Source organism: Homo sapiens, chromosome 4, assembly GCF_000001405.40.
Source record: "Homo sapiens chromosome 4, GRCh38.p14 Primary Assembly".
Taxonomy (NCBI): domain Eukaryota; kingdom Metazoa; phylum Chordata; class Mammalia; order Primates; family Hominidae; genus Homo; species Homo sapiens.
The window spans coordinates 83,579,375-83,595,646 of NC_000004.12; the positions used below are offsets into that span (position 1 = coordinate 83,579,375).

The 16,272-nt window shown below is 38.6% G+C and overlaps 1 protein-coding gene across 6 annotated transcripts in view, besides 1 other annotated feature; it reads left to right on the top strand.

Moving 5' to 3' along the window:
• GPAT3 (glycerol-3-phosphate acyltransferase 3) overlaps positions 1-16,272 on the top strand; it is a 70,289-nt gene that overhangs the window by 43,788 nt on the left and 10,229 nt on the right. For all 6 annotated transcript variants that reach the window (XM_017008780.2, NM_001256422.1, NM_001256421.1 and 3 more), the window contains 5 exons: positions 2,188-2,458; positions 7,881-7,955; positions 8,836-8,925; positions 10,825-10,918; positions 15,471-15,586. In XM_017008780.2, coding sequence (XP_016864269.1) covers positions 2,188-2,458; positions 7,881-7,955; positions 8,836-8,925; positions 10,825-10,918; positions 15,471-15,586 — 646 coding nt within the window. The remainder of the gene's footprint in view (positions 1-2,187; positions 2,459-7,880; positions 7,956-8,835; positions 8,926-10,824; positions 10,919-15,470; positions 15,587-16,272) is intronic.
• Positions 3,162-3,456: a silencer, noted in NCBI's record as "tiled region #7334; HepG2 Repressive non-DNase unmatched - State 24:Quies". NCBI's record gives its function as "represses a minimal TATA promoter and a strong SV40 promoter by Sharpr-MPRA in HepG2 cells {active_cell/tissue: HepG2}" and the evidence as "EXISTENCE:reporter gene assay evidence [ECO:0000049][PMID:27701403]".

A 16,272-nucleotide genomic window follows, 5' to 3' on the forward strand; every position in this document is an offset into this window, starting at 1 on the left:
CTCCATCTTCTGGGCTCAAGTGATCCCCCTGCCTCAGCCTCCCAAGTAGCTGGGACTACAGGCACATGCCACCATGTCCAGCTAATTTTTGTATTTTTTGTGGAGACAGGTTTCACCATGTTGCCCAGGTAGGTCTCAAACTCTTGGGCTCAAGTGATCCGCTCACCTTGACCTCCCAAAGTGTTGGAATTACAGGCATAAGCCCCCATGCCAAGCCCCTATTGCTTTAATTCTTAAGGTGACTAGGTATAAACTTTGCATGTAGGACAAAAACTCCAAAATCCCCATATATCCCACACCTAAAATCATAAAACATTAGCCCTGTAAGAAAACTAAATTGTTTCCATTCTCTCAGTTTATAAAAGACATCAGTCATGGAGCTGGTGGTTGTCCTAAACAGGACTTGGCTTTTGACTCCAGGTCCTCTTTCCTTTCTCCTCTAGTGTAGTATTAGTCCTTCCGAAAACTGAACTATTACAGCTCTTTCTACTAATACACGTATAACTCTTTCCGGGATAGGTAATACAGCACTGTCCATTTTCCTCATTGATTTCCTAGTAAACTGGAAAATGAGGTGATCAAAAAAGATCTTCTTTCAGGGAATTTAACATCTTAATTACTATCTCAAAAGAAAATATTTTTCTTTGTAGTCTAATGTCAGAAGTAACCTTTTGTGATACACCCCAAAGGAACCAATGAATGATCATATGACTGTGTATATAGCTACTCTTTATTCTTTGAAGACTTTCTCATTTTTTGTATTTAATAGTTAGAATTGAATGACAGTAGTCATTTTTCAATTCATAAAAATTTATGCTGCTTTAAAAAATCATTTAATTATTTTCTTGATGGAAAATACAGTAACAGCACAGAGAGGAAAACCTAATCCTATTGTCTAGAAATAGCTACTTAATGTTTTCATTTTTACATTTTTTCTATGTATATGTATTTCATAGAGTGAAACTATAGTTTTAGATTCCGTCTTTTCTTGATTAACATTATAGTATTTGTTAATGGGTGCATTTTATATCATTGTTTGGATTAATTGTAATGAAGAATGCTACAGTGAACACCCTTGCCTACATTTGCCTACATTTCTAATTATTTTCTGATGACAGATTCCTAGAATTGGAGTTATTGATCATCAGCAAAACTATCTTCAGTCTTTTCATTGCCAAACCAACTTTGACAAAGTTGCTACTACTTCCGTACTTGTACAAGTTGAATATGAGAGTACCTGTGTCATTTCAAGTCATTGAATAAAATGCTGCTGATTTGATACTGTAAATAGGCCTTTGTCTAATTCACATTTCCTTTTTCACTAGTGAAAAGTTGTATGATATTAACTATTAATATTCATGTTGTTTCTGTGAACTTTGCTTACTTTTATGCAGGAGGCTGTGTTTTTCTTATTAAATAATTTTCATATATTAAAAAATCGGCCGGGCGTGGTGGCTCACGCCTGTAATCCCAGCACTTTGGGAGGCAGAGGCAGGCAGATCACGAGGTCAGGAGATTGAGACCATCCTGGCTAACATGGTGAAACCCTGTCTCTATTAAAAATACAAAAAATTAGCCGACTGTGGTGGCGGGTGCCTGTAGTCCCAGCTGCTTGGGAGGCTGAGGCAGGAGATTGGCATGAACCCGGGAGGCGGAGCTTGCAGTAAGCTGAGATCACGCCACTGCACTCCAGCCTGGGTGACGGAGCAAGACTCCGTCTCAAAAAAAAAAAAAAAAAAAAAAAAAATCAACTTTTTGCCATTTATGGTGAATCTTTTGCCATTTTGCTTGCTTTTTGATTTTATGGTTTTTGTCAGGGAGAACAGAAGTCTTTGTTTTTACACAATCTAGAGTTATACTTGGGGAGAATTTTGTGTGTGTGTGTGTGTGAGTTCTTTGTCTAATGGTATGCAGGGAAGAATTCCAAACAAGAGGATTATGGAGGACCAAAAACCCCTCTTTATAATTAACAAAGATCATGAGGTAGAGGCCATTTCATGCAGACACAGTGATTTCACCTCTTTTCCCACTGCAATTGTTTGTCTCTTACTTCTGAAGATGGCTGATGTCACCCATTAAACTTATTTACTTGTTTGGCATATTTAACTTCTACACAGTTAAAGTTGCCCTTTTGGTCAATTCTTCTGTCGTATGGCATTTTCTCATGTCCTGATGCTTTCTTTTAAGGTATTATCCAAAGAGATGAGTCACCCATGGAAAAAGGGCTCTCTGGTCTACGAGGAAGGGACTTTGAGCTGTCTGACGTGTTTTATTTCTCCAAGAAGGGATTGGAAGCCATTGTAGAAGATGAAGTGACCCAGAGGTTTTCCTCAGAGGAGCTAGTGTCATGGAATCTCCTCACAAGAACCAATGTAAATTTCCAGTACATCAGTCTGCGGCTCACTATGGTGTGGGTGCTGGGCGTCATAGTGCGCTATTGTGTCCTACTGCCTCTGAGGTAAGTCATATGCCTGGTAATTTGATGATACGCTTGACTCAGCTTTCTTTTTGAATCATGTACATAATGGCCACGTAAGTGTTCTGTGGTGCTTATTCCACCCATTCCCACGTAGGAAATGCCACCAAACATGACCTCTAAAGGAATGTATTACGTATCCATTTTCCTTTCACAATTTTTCCCCAAATGAAGTTGTATATTCAGAATCCAATGTATATCTTAGAATCTGGATCCACTTTGCTATTAGAGTCTGAGCTAACTTGAGGATGGAGAGAAAAGGGAAGTGAAGAAGAAGAAGAGGAAGAGGAAGAAGAAGAAGAGAGATCATCAACAGTTTCATATTCACTAGAGCATCAGCCAAACTGTAAGAGCTGACCAGAACCCACTGCCTTTCTTTGCCAGTCCATAGCACTTCATAACTGCATAAGAGAGAAAAAATTCTTGAGTGTGGTTACACGTGGGAGAGAGCCATTTCGAAGTGTGTTTGTTCCATCCAATTCATTGTGATCACGGACTGCTCTTATTAAAGTGTCCCCACCTGGGTCCCCTTCTGCTTCTGAGCTTGAGTGCCACCTGGTGAGGAGGCAGTGTCAAGCCTAGTTTATGGAAAGCACGATGTGGAACATGAGTAGAAGGCACTGCGTGGTGGGATGAAGCTGTAAGTGGCTGAGATCTGATTAGCGTGGTGGTAGCAGTAGTAGGCACGTATACCAGCCACAACATTATTGTTGATCATCTTGCTTCATTTCCCTGGACATGGCCTTGGCATCCTCTCAGCAGAGCTTTCCAGGCAGTGGCTACCTGCCAACTAAACTTGGCACATGAATTGAAATCTTTTTACCACCCCCAGGGTGGCCTATGCTTGCCTCATTCAGATTTATTACCAGGGAAAGTATTGCTTAACTACAGGGAAATGCAGATTTCTAAGAAATTATTTCTGGGTTGTTGTTGTTGTTTTTTTTTGCCCATATTGCTAGTTCAGACATTGGGGCATAGTATGTCTTTTGGGAATCATTTCAGCTGTGATAATGAAGCGAAATTCAAGGTTTCACATATAATTTTGCTTGAACCTTAAACTAGTGCCCCCAAAACAGGGTTCGTGTACTCTGGGAGTGTACAAGACTATCCATTGGCATGCAGGAAGGAAATATTAGAGCTCTTATTTACTAAAAGCTTCTGTTCTGGCTGGGTGCAGTGGCTCACGCCTGTAATCCCAGCACTTTGGGAGGCCGAGGTGGGCGGATCACAAGATCAAGAGATCGAGACCATCCTGGCCAACATGGTGAAACCTCATCTCTACTAAAAATACAAAAATTAACTGGGCGTGGTGGAGCACACCTAGTCTCAGCTACTCGGGAGGCTGAGACAGGAGAATCGCTTGAACCTGGGAGGCAGAGGTTGCAGTGAGCTGTGATCGTGCCACTGCACTCTAGCCTGGCAACAGAGCGAGACTGCGTATCCAAAAAAAAAAGAAAGAAAGAAAGAAAAAAAGCTTCTGTTCGCTTTATAACTAGAGCTTCCATTTATTCTGTTTTCATTCTTAAAAAGAAAAAGCCCAGGGGCATGGTGGCTCACACCTGTAATACTAGCACTTTGGGAGGCTGAGGTGGGCAGATCACTTGAGGCCAGGAGTTCGACTGGCCTGGACAACATGGTGAAACCCCATCTCTACCAAAAATACAAAAATTAGCCAGGTGTGGTGATACGCACTTGTAGTCCCAGCTACTTGGGAGGCTGAGGCAGAGAATTACTTGAACCCAGGAGGCAGAGGTTGCAGTGAACCAGGATCACGCTACTACACTCCAGCCTGGGTGACAGAGCGAGACTCTTGTCTGAAAAAAAAAAAAAAAAAAAAAAAAAAAAAATGAAGCTGGGCCGGGCATAGTGACTCTTGCCTGTAATCCCAGCCCTTTGGGAGGCCGAGGTGAGGTCAGGAGTTCTATGTCAGCCTGGCCAACATGGTTAAACTCCATCTCTACTAAAAATACAAAAATTAGCCAGGTGTGGTGGCACATGCCTGTAGTCCCAGCTACTTGGGAGGCTGAAGCAGGAGAAATCACTTGAACCCGGGAGGCGGAGGTTGCAGTGAGACACTGTATTCCAGCCTGGGTGACAGAGTGAGGTGAGGCTCCATTTCAAAAAAAATAAACAACAACAACAACAACAAAAACACATGAAGCTTTAGTCAAGTTTAATATATGGATTGGTTCGTATCCAAGGTAACCTGAAGGAAGAATGAGGAATTCTACAGCACAGTGCTTGAGATGCCCTTGTTTGTTGTTGGTTAGCTTTCACCATGCTGTGGGGGCCCAGAAAATGCTGTTATGATTCCCTTATCTACTAAACAAATGCTCACAAAATAGATAAGTGACTTAAAATATTTTTGCAAAGAAACTATGATTTAAGATAATAAAGCAATGTAAACATTTATTACTTCTTGGCCTTTGGGCTAAGATCAAGTGCAGTGATATAAGCATCCAAGAACAAAAAGAAAATGCAGAGTTCAGACTCCTACTCTTAGTGGATACTCTTCAGTGTGGAAGAACTGCTTTGTAAATGCTTTTTAAAAGAAGCACCTACTACAAAATGAGCTTTTCAAAAACCAGATTGTATTAAGATACAATGTGGTGATGGTTGCACAACTCTGTGAATATGACAGAAACTACTGAATTGCATACTTTATTTTATTTATTTATTTTTATGATGAGATAGAGTCTCACTCCATCACTTAGACACAATCTTGGGTCACTGCAACCTCTGCCCGCTGAGTTCAAGCGATTCTTATGCCTCAGCCTCTCGAGTAGCTGGAATTACAGGCATGTGCCTCCATGCCTGGCTAATTTTTGTATTTTTAATAGAGATGGGGTTTCACCATGTTGGCCAGGCTGGTCTCAAACTCCTGACCTGAAGTGATCCGCCTGCCTTGGCTTCCCAAAGTGCTGGGATTACAGGCGTGAGCCAGTGCCTGAACTGAATTACACATTTTAATGGGTTGAATTGTATGGCATGTGAATTGTATGTCAATAAAGCTCTTAAAAAACAGACTGTGGCTGAAAACTTATGTCATCTATGAGAACTCTAACATTGCCTCACTTAAACTGGGATACATAATGTTCTGGCCTGTTAATCTAGCAAATAAAAAGTTTCAGTAGTTTTGAACCCAATTGTTAAACATGTTAAAATGAAACTCCTTCTGATTTAATGGATGGGAACAAGTGATTCTCATTGGGGCAAGATGGCAAAACATTATTTTAAAAGTTTTGCATAATTGATGATGAGATTAAACAATAATTTAGTTATTGCATCAGTAACTGACAAGAAAAAAGAACCTGACCTTCAAATTGCTATGTCAAGTCTTTAACAAAATTTAACACCTTATTTATCAAGGTATTTATAGGAAAGCATGTTCAAAAAGCTTTCTTCTTGCTCAAAATTGTAATAGTATTAATTATATTTATTAGTTATAGTAATATATCATGTTATTAAGTTATAATTATAAAATTGATAGTTATAATTATAAAATTAATAATATATATTAATGTATTACTTTATTATCCTATTTTGAGTGAGGACAAATTGCAACATTAATATAATTTCAAAATACTGTATTTTTAAATAAAAATATTTATACTTTTTTTTACGTTTCCAGATGTTTTATAATGTACATTATATCAGTACAGAATATGCACATTATTCTTAAACACATTGGGCTGCATGTTCAGATGTGTTATTGATGGAGTGTTTCTCCAAATGGGTTAAGATTGCTGCCTTTTACGCTGTTTCTTTTTTTTTTTTTGAGACAGTCTCACTTTGTTGCCCAGGCTGAAGTGTAGTGGCACAATCTTGGCTCACTGCAACCAACCCCTGCCTCCTGGGTTCAAGCGGTTCTCGTTACAGGGATGTGTCACCATGCCTTCCTAATTTTTGTATTTTTAATAGAGACAGGGTTTCACCATGTTGGCCAGGCTGGTCTCGAACTCCCCACCTCAAGTGATCCACTCGCCTGGGCCTCCCAAACTGCTGGGATTGTAGCCGTGAGACACTGCTTATTTCTCTTGTTTTAAATAATGCTAAACTGCTATGTTAAATCATAATCTCCTGAAAGACAGAATAACATAATGCTTATGAAAATGAATTCTGGAGCCCTGGGTTCAAATCCTGGCTCGGTTGCTTATTTTCTGTGTAACTTTGGGTGAGTTAGTTAGCCTTTCTATGCTCCAATTTTTTCATGTGTAGAATGGGGATAATGATAATATTATTGCCTCATAGAGTCTTGGGGATGATTAAATGTGTTAAATATAAAAGGTACTTAGAATATTGCGTGGTGTATAGTGTTAGGTGTTGCTTCATCATCATCTAATGTGAAACCTGGGATTGGTTAAGACAAACGATTTTATGCTCCAAATATCTGATCAGAAAGTAAAGATAGCTACGTGTCAGCAGTAAATGAGCTTCACCCTGGAGAGGGTTACTGTTCCTGACCCTTAACCTTAGGCAACCACTGTAGCTTCCCCAGACACACAGGGTCCTTCTGATACTGCAGGGGTGGTCCCCTTCAGTCTGCTTATTGAATACCTCACGCATTCAGCAACACGTGTGTGCTCTTCTGGGAACAGGAAGACATAAATAGGCCTCTGGTTTGATTTGAGAGAGTAATGAGATAATCTAAAGTTTCTGCTTTCTCCATTTGACAAAGTAAGATGATTTAAAGAATCTTATTAGTAAAATGTGATTAAACTATTGATTTTTCTTCTCTATTAACTAAATCCTATTTATTTTGAAAGATTTTGTCTTAACTTTCCTTTTTGAATAATTCTATTTACATTTCTAGAAATTACTACTTTCCTTTTGAAGTCATTGGAATGTATATTAAAAGCACTTTTCAAAAAGAAGGCAATGTCTATATGGAGGTTAGAGGTACTGTCAGTCACCTTGTTTGCTAACTTCTGAGTTATCTTGAACCATGCAAAAGGACAACAGTTAGATTTGCATTAAAAGATGTCTACATGGTGGTATATTTTGGTGTTCTTATTATGAAAGCACCTTTAAATCTATTCCCTTCACTAGCCCTCTTAACCCTTTGGTGATTATATAGATTTAACTTGATAGTTTTGTGAAAATTTCCAGGCCTTCTCTATGCATATACAGACTTGTTACACATGTGTTTGTTGTTGTTTTGCAGATGGCATCATATTCTGTACTTTATTCTGAAACTTACTTTGCTTTTTGCCTCTTAAAGTGTGTCGTGGAACATTCTTCCGTGTTAGATCTATATAGATTTACCCAGTTATTTTAGTGGCTGCATCATATTTCATCATGTGGATACTCTACAACTTATTTACAATTTTATTATTTAGGAACTTTTTGGTTACTTCCATGCTATGTGTCAAAATCTTATATGGCCCTCTCTTTTCTTTTTCAGGGTTACCTTGGCTTTCATTGGGATCAGTTTGCTGGTTATAGGAACTACACTGGTTGGGCAGCTGCCAGACAGCAGGTGAAATGTTTCCTTCCATCCAGCCATATATAGGACTGTCTTTTTTCTTAGCTGTGTCCACAAAGAGAATATTTGTTTGATTCCTATGTATTGCATTATTATTATTATTATTTTTGAGACGGAGTCTCGTACTGTCACCTGGGCTGGAGTGCAATGGTGTGATCTTGGCTCACTGCAACCTCCGCCTCCTGGGTTCAAGAGATTCTCCTGCCTCAGCCTCCTGAGTAGCTGGGATTACAGTCACCCACCACCATGCCCAGCTAATTCTTTGTATTTTTAGTAGAGACGGGGTTTCACCATGTAGGCCAGGGGGGTCTCGAACTCCTGACCTTGTGATTTGCTTTCCTTGGCCTCCCAAAGTGCTGGGATTACAGGTGTGAGCTACCACACCAGGCTGCATTGCATTAAATTTATGTTCTCTACTCATTTATTAGAATCCTGCTCACTTCATCTTCATAGTCTTTGATTTTTTTAAATCATACTTCCATATTAATTGAAAGAAGTTGTTTTTTCAAAGGAGAATTGAAGAAAGAAAATGAACTGAGTTACCTAAGAGAGTCTTATATATTGGCAAGCTCATAAGACCAAGACCAAAGAAGCTTCACTTTATCTCGTTCAGGAATTTGTCATAATAGCCTAGTGGTTTTGAGCCACTTTTCATTAGAGTTATGTCCAGTTTTTTTGGTAGACTTTTGTGATCTAATACTAAATGTGCCAATGAGACTATAACAATTGACTATAAGACTATAAGAATTGAACTGTACCTGTTCACCAGAATAGAATGTGGTATGCTGTTGTGAAAAAGCACATTAAAACCTTTATTATATTGTTTCTTAAGAGTGCCCAGAATGGCACAATAAAATGTTTCTATTTCCTTCAGCCTCAAAAACTGGCTGAGTGAACTGGTCCATCTGACTTGCTGCCGGATCTGTGTGCGAGCCCTCTCTGGTACCATTCATTATCATAACAAGTGAGTATCTGCTCCAATGTGCCTGTCTTTTTCTAGGTCAATTCAGCATGAGATTGACAAGGAAGCATTGGAAGTGGTTGGGAAGAAGTGGGTGGAGTCAGAGTGCTTCCAATGTGTTCATCTCTACTTCTCAGTGTGGCACAGGCATGATGCACAAAAACACTAAATAGCAGTGTTTGCAGAAAGAATATAATAATAAACACGTAGTTGTGCTCAATAATTGGGCATTTATGGTGTGCAGGCCAGACCCTGTGTTTCTTGTAGCTCATCCCTATGAGATAGGCACTGTTAACCCATTTTATAGGGGAAGAAATGTAAGCTTTGGGATTTGTTGTTTAGGGTCACAGTGAATAAACAATGGAATCAGGTTTTGAGCCATGTCTCTCTGATTTTAAAAACAATGAAGTTGACAGGTCTGTACTGTGGTGGAAATAGGACTAGACGTGGAGTCTGGAAATGTGGTCTCTATTCTTAGTCCTGCTACTTCTAAAATTCCATAATTGAGCCTTAAAACAAAATTCTGCTTTTCTCTCCCAGAATTGTAGAGAATGAAGGCAGCAAAGGAAAGGAATTAGCTAAGTGAAAGTGATTTTGATTGCATTTGAACTACTTTTCTATTATCTTAATTTTTTTTAGATTTAACATCATTTTAAAAGTTCTAGGCCAAGCTTCTCTTTTTTACTGATTTGGTCTTTCTTTCTCATTTGTAGAAGGGAAACATTTTGCCATTTGGCTTTACCATGTGGTACCAACATAAAAGACCCTTTAAACATTTTAAATTATATGATGTTGCAATTGGACTATGAGTTTTAAAGTGAAGAGTGAAAGAAAACACTCTGGCAGGTGTGCAGTCAGAAGAAACACCTGTAGAAAAGGCACACTTATTACATAAAGAGGAGTTCCTAACTTCTTATAGAATTGCTTCTCATTTTGAAGAAAATATGCTAAATAATTGTGTATTTGGTTCTTTCTTCTCTGTATAGGCCCAAAGAAAACTACTTTGCTTTATTGGTGTCAAATACTGGTTTCACTCTAGGGTAGAGATCAACAAACTGAACTGGGAGCCTATAGGCCAAATCTGGCCCACCAGCTGTTTTCTGTAAATAACATTTTATTGGAACACAGCCGTGCTCATTCACAGCCGTGGCTGCTTTTGTGTCACAACAGCAGAGTCAAGTAATTGTGACAAGCATTGTCTGGCTTGCAAAGCTTAAAGTATTTGCTGTCTGGCCCTTGATAAGAAAAGTTTGCCAACCTCTGCTCTAGGAGGATAGGAGGGAGGAAATTATGGTGAATTTTCTCCGTGGATTACCATGAAACCACTAAAAGTGATGTATATGAAGATCAGAATAATGTGAAAATACTTCAGATTAAATAAGTGAAAGCTGTGTATTATCAATGGAAAAATCATGGGCCCCCTACCACACTCTCATCACACTACCTAGAGATCACCTTTTAAAGATGGGCCCGTGTACCTCCAAACTTAATTTTTAAAAATATACTTAAAAAAGACCAGGCACGGTGGCTTATGCCTGTGATCCCAGCACTTTGGGAAGCCGAGTGGGGCAGATCACTTGAGGTCAGGAGTTTGAGACCAGCCTGGCCAACATGGAGAAACCTCATCTCTGCTAAAAATATAAAAATTAGCTGGGCCTGATGGCACATACCTGTAATTCCAGCTACTTGGGAGGCTGAGGCAGGAGAATTGCTTGAACCCCTGGAGGTGGAGGTTGCCATGAGCCAAGATTGCACCAATGCACTCCAGCCTGGGCAACAGAGTGAGACGCGAAAAAAAAAATTACATATATACACACACACACACTTAAAAAAGTAAGATGAGTATTTACATGCTGTGGCTATTTTAGAAGACTTCGAATTTTCCATTGTTTGTAATTGCAGGCAGTACAGACCCCAGAAGGGAGGCATTTGTGTTGCCAACCATACTTCCCCCATTGATGTTTTAATCTTGACAACGGATGGATGTTATGCTATGGTAAGAGCAGCTCATTGATATTTCAAGTAGTTGCATGTTTTATGGATTGATCAAACTTTTTATTTTGGCATAAATTAGCAAGTTGGTTTTATGTTAGAAATTTGACTGCGTTATACTATTGTAGCTATATAAGTTATGTAATGTATTTACATGAGGAATATGTAGTGCAAGAAAAGGAAGGAAAATAGCCATGATATTTAAGATGGTAAAAAATTAACTTACTGAAATGCAGACATTCTTGAGCTTAATAGGACCTTGTAAAGTTGATTCCATTTTCCTTGTAAAATCCCTGCCAGTGTTTAATAATATTTGCAACATTAAATTCTTTCTTTTTACAGTTGCACATATCCCCTAGCCAGCCAATTACTTCTTTCTTCCTTCAGGGACTTATATGCAATTAAAAGAAATCTGGCTCTTTAATGAGGATCTAGCAAGAAAGGCAAATATTTATATCAGGTTGTCTTTCTCAGTCCTTGCCCATAGCCCCAAAAGAAAAGAAAATGAAACAAACCCAAGAACAAACTACAAAGCCTACAGTAAAACTGTACATCTCAAAACAGCCTTTCTTGGGGATGAATATAGGAATCATATTCTTTTTTTTTTTTTTTTTTTTCAAATCTGTGTTTTCTGTTGCCCTTGCAAATTTGTCAAGATTTCTTGCATCTCCTTTCTGTGTCAGGTAAATTCTGCAGGATAATTGAAGCTGCATGGTAGTTAAATATGCCTTCAGTTGGTGTTTGGCATAGAATGCCTGGACAAGGGTCCTAGGGGATCGCCTTTTCAAATTTTCATGGTGGTGGGTTGGGCTTCAGGGAGAGTAGATGGGTTTTATTTCACTTACCAGTTCCAGGGATTGACAGCCATGGTTTGGTGTGTTTTTCTGGGAAGGCATTTGAAGGGAGCCATTTTTGATTAAATGTCGCTGCAAGTAGGAAGGTGGAGAGTATTGGCACATGTGCAAGTATTTGACTCTGCATGGGTTACACAATCATTAAGGGGATTTTGAAGGCCTTTGCAAAAATTTCTGCTTATTGCCATGTGTTTAATCTGTCTAAAATACATGGCCAGATATATAACTCTTGGATACTACATTTTAACACGTTATTAAATTTCTCTAAATAATGGAGCTCTTTCTGAATCTAAGAAAGCGTTAGCCACCTTTATGAAAAGACTTATGAGAATTGGTAGTTCTTAATCTTTTCTTAGGTTAGGAATTAGTTGATAGTTATGTACCTTTTTAAAGAAAAAAACTAACCATATCTGCATCATACAAACAACAATTTTATGTATAATTTCAAGATGTTTATGGGTCTCCCTAAAGACCATCCAAGGACCCTCATGTTAACACCCTAGACCCCGCAGCACAGTTCTGAGTGTATGTAATAATCCTTGTATTTATGTGGACACTTTCATGCATTATATTTGACCTTCCCTGTAATCCAATCAGGTTAGGTCTGAGATTTTATTATAGATGAGGAAGCAGAGGCTTAGGCAACCAATCTGCCTAAGTTGATTTTGTGCTGCTACAACAGAATACCACAGACTGTAACTTATAATGAACAGAAATTTATTGACTAACAGTTCTGGAGGCTGGGAAGTCCAATATCAAGGTGCCAGCATCTGTCCATGGTCTTCTTGCTGAGTCATCACATGGTATAAGGCAGAAGGGCCAAAAGCCCAAGAAAGCAAACCTACTCCCAGAGCCATTTTATAAGGGCTTTAATCCATCCATGAGGAGAGCACCCTCATGGCCTCAGTATCTCTCGTTATGCCCCACCTCCCAAAACTGTTGCAAACCATAACACTCCTTGGTCATGGTTTTGTGTTTCAGAAATCATATTCCTCCTGTATTCTGGTCAACAAAGAGTTGAGTATAACCCATTTGTAACCAAGGACCTCAGAACTTTGTTGGCATTTTCTTTACTTTTAGATCATGTATAACCGCAATTACAATATATTAGCCAAAATTTAGAAAAGCATAGTAACTGTAAACTGTCCAGTGGGTTGAGTGTAGAAAACTAAAGTTGACTGAATTTAAATTGGAGGTGGCGTAAGGCAGATGTGGGATGATACCATGCCATTAGCCTCCAGACATCATAATTGGCCTCTTTTGACTAAACATAAACTCTGTATTGAAAGAACATCAAAGATCTCTTCTCAGTGACTCTCCTTTTATTAAAAGAAATCTACTGTTTAATTGACAAATAAAAATTATATATATTTGTAGTATACAACAGATGTTTTGATAGATGTATACATTGTAGAATGGCTAAATCAAGCTAATTAACATATCCATTACCTCACTCAGTGACTTTTCTAGTCTTGTTTTTCCCTCTAGACAAAGACCTCTACTTTTTTAAATTTAGAAATGTTTTCAAGCTTACAGAAAAGTTATAATAATAAGAAAATCACATTAGAGCACCCTTATGCCCTTTATCCACATTTACCTGTTGGTAAGATTGTGCCTCATTTGCTTTGTCATTTGCTTTCTCAGGTACTGGGAAAAGCTCTCTTGTTCTGTCTCTCCCTATAAAAATGTGGGTAAAATGTTTGTATTTTTAATATATTTATATTTAACATTTCTTTTTTTTTGAGACAGCACCTCACTCTGTTGCCCAGGCTGGAGTGCAGTGGTGTGATCTCGGCTCACTGCAACCTCCGCCTCCCAGGTTCAAGTGATTCTCCTGCCTTAGCCTCCCTAGTAGCTGGGATTACAGGTGCCCACCACCATGCCCAGTTAATTTTTGTATTTTTAGTAGAGACGGGGTTTTGCCATGTTGGCCAGGCTGGTCTCAAACTCCTGACCTCAGGTGATCCACCCACCTTGGCCTCCCAAAGTCCTGGGATTACAGGTGTGAGCCACCGAGCCAGGACTTTTTTTTTTTTTTTTTAAACATAGTCCTCCTGTGTTGTCCAGGCTGGAGTGCAGTGGTATGATCTCGGCTCACTGCAACCTCTGCCTCCCAGGTTCAAGTGATTCTCCTGCCTCAGCCTCCCAAGTAGCTGGGATTACAGGTGACCATCACCACACCCAGCTAATTTTTGTAGTTTGTAGTAGAGATGGGGTTTCACCATGTTGGCCAGGCTGGGCTTGAACTCCTGACCTCAAGTAATCCTCCCACCTCAGCCTCCCAAAGTGCTGGGAATACAGGTGTGAACCACCACATCTGGCCTATATTTACTATTTATTTCTAATATTTACATTGGAAATCTGAATACATCCAACTCTTAAGGTTCTTTCTTGCTTTCCTTCAATTAATATTTGTATCTCCCATTTTCATAATGAAAATCCTGTTTCCCAACAATATCAATATGTTTACTCATTTTCTCAATTCTATGATACATCTAAAATTATTTCAGAATTGCTTCACTACTACAAAAAAAAAGGTAGTAAAAAGAGTTCAGGATGTTTTGCAGTTCTTACAATGCCATCCAAGATGGAGGGTATGTAGTCAGATACTGTCTTTGCAAGTTTCTTGGATGTTTCCCCCTTCCTTCAATGCTGTTCTTTTACTCATTTAAAATCCAATTGGGTTCACTGGCTTCAGTTTGCTTTAGTCTGTCATTCGCTCCTTACTGATTTAATTTTTTTTGAATATGTAGGGTATCAATATGCTTCCAAATGTCAAAACTAAGCCGAAAAGGTATACTCATTGAAGTGCCACTACCTTCCATGTTCATTCCATCCCATTCCTTCCTACTCTTGTAGGTTCATTGACTTTGGTTATCCTTTCTGTATTTCTTTTTGTAGAGATAAACACATGTATGCATATTATTTCCCCTTTAGTCTTATACAAAAGGTAGCATACTGTATTTGTTCTTTTGTCTTTTTCATTTAACAATATCTCCTGGAAATTACTCTTTATCAGTCATAGAGATCAACCTTGCTCTGTTCCCAGCTGCATAATACTCCATTATTTGTATGTACCATTATCTATTTATCTAATTTCTTATATTTGGACATTTAGGTAGTTTCTAATATTTTGCCATAACAAGTAATGCTGTAGTTAATAGCCTTGTGCATATATATTTTCAATTTGTTGGAAGTATATCTTCAGGGTTAATTTCTAGGAGAGGAATTATTGAAATGAAAGATGAGTGTGTATGCAATTTTGTAGATGTTGCCAAATTTCTTTCCATTTGTGTTGTAATCTGCTCCCTTCCACCAAGCAATGTTTGAAAGTTATCCATAGACTTATGTCAGAGTGTATTGTCAAGCTTTTAAATCTTTGTCAGTGTGATGGGTTTGAAAAGGTATTTCAGTGTAGTTTTAATTTACATTTCTCTAATGTTGACCAAGTTGAAAAACCTCTACTTTTTGAAGTTAGAGGATTGCTAGCACAGCAACGTAACTTAAAATTCAAAGGTGCTACTAAAGAATACCTTTTTGCTTACATTTGGCCTTTCAGACTATTTGATCAGACTAAGAACTTCAGTCAGTAGAAGGCCAATCATATTTTTGAGTGGAGAATAGAAATTTGTTGGTACTTAAAAAACTTTCTTTGCACAACGGTGCCTTTTACGTTTTTTCCTTTTCTTATGCTACTTCTAGGTTGGCCAGGTTCATGGCGGCTTGATGGGAATTATTCAGAGAGCTATGGTCAAGGCTTGTCCTCATGTCTGGTTTGAACGCTCAGAAATGAAGGATCGACACCTGGTTACTAAGAGGTAAGCAGTGAAATTACTCAGCATTCACTGGAGTAGCATAAAAGCTGACCAATCTTGGCCTTGCTACCAAAGAGGGCCGAGCAGCACTGAGTCTCAAAACTGAAACAGAGCCCTGTTTGCTGTTGGATTTTTCTGGCAAATCACCTGTCTTAGCCAGATTTTTAAAAAATGTAATTCTGTAGTCATGGTAGGATATATGATGGGATTGGAAGGCCAATGTATTTATATTGCTGTGACTTAGATATAGTCCAGTCACTGAATTTTCAAAGATAAAAATTACCACCTTTAAATTAGATATGATCTCACTTGAGTATAAGCAATTAAAAAAATAAATTAGATATGTATACTTTACCTCAATAAAAAATATATAAAAAAGAAAAAAAAACCACCTTGAAGGTTAAATATTTGATAACTACTTGCTAAATATATGATTGATTAAGTGTTTGCTGAATGATTGTTATCACTTAAATCCAGCTAGAAGCTGGGCATGGTGGCTGACGTCTGTAATCCTAGCACTTTGGGAGGCCAAGGTAGGAGAATGGCTTGAACCCAGGAGTTCAAGACCAGCCTGGGCAGTATAGTGAGACCTCATCTCTACAAAAAATAAATAAAATTAGCCAAATGTGGTGGCATATGCCTGTGGTCCCAGCTACTTGGGAGGAAGGATCGCTTGAGACCATGAGGTT